Consider the following 1,975-nt stretch of genomic DNA (forward strand, 5'->3'; position numbering starts at 1 on the left):
CAGGATCTTGCTGTGTCACCCCGCTGGAGTGCTGCAGTGTGATCTCAGTTAACTGCAACCTCCACCTCTGCGGCTCAAGTGATCCTCCTGCCTTAGCCTCCTGAGTAGCTGGAACTACAGGCACATGCCACTGCACCCAGTTAATTTTTGTATTTTTAGTAGAGATGGGGTTTCACTATGTTCCCCAGGCTGGTCTTGAACTCCTGGCCTCAAGTGATCCTCCCACCTCAGCCTCCCAAAGTGCTGGGAAAACAGGCACGAGCCACTGCGCCTGGCCATTAAACAACAATTTTATATTATTTCTTAGACTATGTGCACTATTTTCAAATAATATTGATAAGCTTAGCAAAATTACACTAAGATGACAGCTCCATGCATAGTAAGATGTCTCTAAATGTATTTCTCTGTTAGCATGAGCTGAATTTGCCACCTAAGATAAATTCTTTTTCACAGTATCAACAAGTATGTCCCCACTTTCTAAGCAGAGAGATTAGCTGGGTATGGTGACTCACACCTGTAATCCCAGCACTTTGGGAGGCTGAGACGGGAGGACTGCTTGAGCCCAGGAGTTTGAGATGAACCTGGGCAACAAAGTGAGACTCTGTATCTACAAAAGATTAAAAAGAAAAAAAATTAGCCCGGCATGGTAGGGCATGCCTGTAGTTCTAGCTACTTGGGAGGCTGGGAGGATCACTTGAGCCCAGGAGGCCAAGACTGCAGTGAGCAGTGATCACACTGCACTCCAGTGTGGGCAACAGAGCAAGACTCTAAAAAACAAAATGAAAAAAATTAAATTAAAAAAGGAAGATTATCTTGATAATAACTGCATGAAAGATAAGCAATTTAAAAAGCATAACCTAGTGTAAAAATGAAGTAACTGAATAATACAAAGAATTTTGTGGTAATGTTTTTTATGCAGAAAAAATAATATAGAATCTGCACATAATTTGAAAAGTAAATTACCAAGTGTCAGAAAACTGTTAAGATCTCAGTGTTATATCTTAAATTTAACCAAGTAAAAATTTCTGATATTCAAACACATGGCAGAAATGTCCTGAGGCAAAGTTTAACGAATCCTCAGAAAATTAAGGCTAAAAAAAAAATGGCTAAAATACAGAAAAAAAAACAGAAAATTAAGGCAAAAGAAAATTAAGGCTAAAAAAAATCAAACACCAAGTGTTCATCATACCTCAGCCTTTATTAACATGCAAGTACCATGTGCTTCAAGATAAACAGGCTTGCTTAGTCTTTGATTCAGTTTTAATGTCTTAAACTTAAGGTTACTTCTGATTCCAATACATAAAATAACCTATGAAAACTGGTCAAAGTTAAACTTTATTTCTATTTTTCTTTGTTTGAGACTGAGTTTTGTTCTTGTTGCCCACGCTGGAGTGCAGTGGCACGATCTTGGCTCACTGCAACCTCTGCCTCCCAGGTTCAAGCAATTCTCCTGCCTCAGCCTCCCGAGTAGCTGGGATCACAGATGCGTGCCACCACAGGCGGCTAATTTTTCTATTTTTAGTAGAGATGAGGTTTCACCACGTTGGCCAGGCTGCTCTGGAACTCCTAACCTCAAGTGATCCACCCGCCTCAGCCTCCCAAAGTGCTGGGATTATAGGCATGAGCCACCATGTCTGACCTTGACTTTTGAAATCACTATTTAGGTTTATACTTGGCATCATTTGTCACCACATGGCAGAATATAATTCTTGTACTTGATAAATAATCTTCTATATTAAAATATGTACCAGTATAGCTTAAGAAGTTACTAAGGCGGCTCTGGGCGCGCTGCCTGGAAGTTAGCCCTGCTCTGCAAGGAGCAGCTTAAAAAAAAGTTACTAAAAATATATAATTTATATTTAACTTCTTTCAATAAGCTGGAATGTATAATGTTTAGGTATAAGAGGAAAAATTACTTTTGTGTATGGTTTTTGCAGTTTCCAGAAAAGCTGGTCCATATTAGGCCAGTCTTTTT

Source organism: Homo sapiens, chromosome 8 (assembly GCF_000001405.40).
Source record: "Homo sapiens chromosome 8, GRCh38.p14 Primary Assembly".
In the NCBI taxonomy this organism is placed as follows: domain Eukaryota; kingdom Metazoa; phylum Chordata; class Mammalia; order Primates; family Hominidae; genus Homo; species Homo sapiens.